General features: G+C 39.3%; 1 annotated feature.

Annotated features, from left to right (window-relative positions):
• Nucleotides 241-772: an enhancer, noted in NCBI's record as "NANOG hESC enhancer chr8:86229148-86229679 (GRCh37/hg19 assembly coordinates)". NCBI's record gives its function as "activates a minimal SCP1, AML or CMV promoter by ChIP-STARR-seq in primed H9 embryonic stem cells {active_cell/tissue: H9 hESC(primed)}" and the evidence as "EXISTENCE:reporter gene assay evidence [ECO:0000049][PMID:30033119]".

The following is a 2,487-nucleotide window of genomic DNA, read 5'->3' on the forward strand; positions in this document are numbered from 1 at the left end:
GTATGTAGTGATGTAATCTGTTAAGGGAACTGCAGACACATCTGTGTGGCTGGAGCACAGGTTGCTCTTGGAGTAGTGCGAGGTGAAGCAGGAGAGATAAGTTAGGACACATCCCGGAGGTCTCAAGAGCCATTTTAAGGAACTCGGAGTTTATCCTAAATCAAAGAGGAACCTAAAGGGTTTTATACAGGGAAATAGTTGATTATTTTGAACCCTGAATGGGGGAGTATAGTTAAGAGAAGGGCAACCATAGAGGCAGAGGCACCAATTAGGGTGGTGATTATCCCTGCAAGAAGCAAGGATGACTTTAATAATGATGAGTTAGTAGACTTGGAGATGATGAGGGAAGTTAAGAGGGATCCGGGATAAGTTGAGAGGCTGGGTGTCTGCGTGAGGGTGGCACATTTTAGTTGTTTAATAAATGTTTGGGTGAAGTTTGCTCGTTTCCAGTGCCTCCAGCATTTTAACTACACTATCACATACCCTTAACTGTGGTTGATTTGCATACATTGTTTCAATACTTTGAATTGCAAAGTGGGTACATTCTTACCACTAAGAAAAGATTCATTCCAACAGAGTGGTGCCACAAAGTTCTCAGTGAAGCTGGTCTGTTACTGTTACAGAGCTGTGTTCATTCCCATTATGAGCTCCTTGGGTCCAAGTTCATCTCATGGGTCCGTCAGGTCATAGATAACTGTGATATAATGTACAATGCTCATCAATAAGTTTTCTGTACACAGAAAAAACCTGCCATTCAGTTACCTTTCATAAGATTCTTTGTCCACATTGCCCAGTGGGAAACATTTGGAATCCTTTTCAAATTTTCCAAATAGATTATAACTTCACAGAATGTTTCCTTTGTTCTTTAAAGTGCTGAATCATTTATTTTAAAATCAGGTTTAACCTAACGCAACTTTAGTTTTGGTTTGCTCTATTTGATTTCAAGTAACCTTTCAAAACAGGTCGGGGGCAGATTTATAATAAATGTAGCTTGAACTTGGCTTGGAAATCTGATAATGGCAGGCAAAGGGACTATGTTGTTCTTATATCTCTTTTTAAAAGCCCTCTTTATTTGCGCCTTTTCATAGCTGGGTCGACTACACTGCTTGATGCAAACTCAATCCAAAATATAACCTGAGCTTAAACAAAGGGATATGAGAAGTCTGCCCTAAAAACTGGGAACTCCACACCTACCCAACCCTCCTACTGCTATTGACCATGTGATCTGGTTCTAATAACTGCTTCTGTCCAATTCTGTGTATCTGAGTCCAGGAACTGTTAACCAAGGTTGTCTAAAATATGGACAATAACACACTTTTATCTATTTTTTTTTAAATACAGAAATTGAAGTCTGTTTCCTCAATCCCAGCTTTGGGACTGGGACTCTTGATTGTGTGTCTACATTCTGAATTATCAAGCTGGTCCTGGCTTTTTTTCCAGGGCACACCATTATCTTGTGTCTGAATTTTTAGCATGGACTTACTACTTTTTGTCTGTTGCATTATCTTTTACGTATTTTAGTTTGTACGACAAGATGGTTTTTCTTCAATGACATCTATTCTTCTTAAGTTAGGCCTGTTCTTTTCGCGTATTCCTCATCCCAGGAGAAACGGCCCACAGCAGCTTTCAAACCCTTCTATAGCATTTCAATTTGTCGAGCAGATTGATTGTATCCCGGAAGAGAGGCAAATTTGTAGCTCATATACCAGTAGAAAAACCTTGCTGGATAAATAGCAACAGGAAGTCGAAGTTAAATCATTATTCCTCTGCCTTCCTAGCATTTGGTTGTGTACATATTATAGTATGCATTTAATTCCAATTTGACTTACAGTTATTTAAGTCTCCCCCAATAGGATTGTAAGGTCCTTTGTGACAGGGTCTATTCTTATTCATTGCTGTATGCCTTGCAGCATGAGGGTAGTGCTTTCTAGGTGGTAAATGCATAGTAAATGGTTGAAAAAATAAAGACATATAATAAAATTAGAATGTGTAAGATTCTCATTAATAGGATCAGTGTCTTATTCATTTACCTGCTATATATTAATGTAATGCTTTCCATATGGTGAAATACCTAGTAAATGTTTGAATAGTAAAGATAGAATTAGAGTATCACTTTTCTAATGTATATTTACTCTTAAATTTTTTTCCTGCATAGAAATCAGCTGTCATATTGGCTTTTTGTGCTTGATTTTTCACACAACGTATTATTTTTTTTTTTTTTCTTGAGACTGAGTGTCGCTTTGTCACCCGGGCTGGAGTGCAGTGGCACGATCTCCACTCACTGCAACCTCCGCCTCCTGGGTTCAAGTAATTCTCCTGCCTCAGCCTCCTGAGTAGCTGGGATTACAGGCACCCACCATCACACCCGGCTTATTTTTTGTATTTTTAGTAGAGACAGGGTTTCATCATGTTGGCCAGGCTGGTCTTGAACTCCTGACCTCGTGATCCGCCTGCCTTGGCCTCCCAAAGTGTTGAGATTACAGGTGT

This window comes from Homo sapiens, chromosome 8 (assembly GCF_000001405.40).
Source record: "Homo sapiens chromosome 8, GRCh38.p14 Primary Assembly".
NCBI lineage: Eukaryota > Metazoa > Chordata > Mammalia > Primates > Hominidae > Homo > Homo sapiens.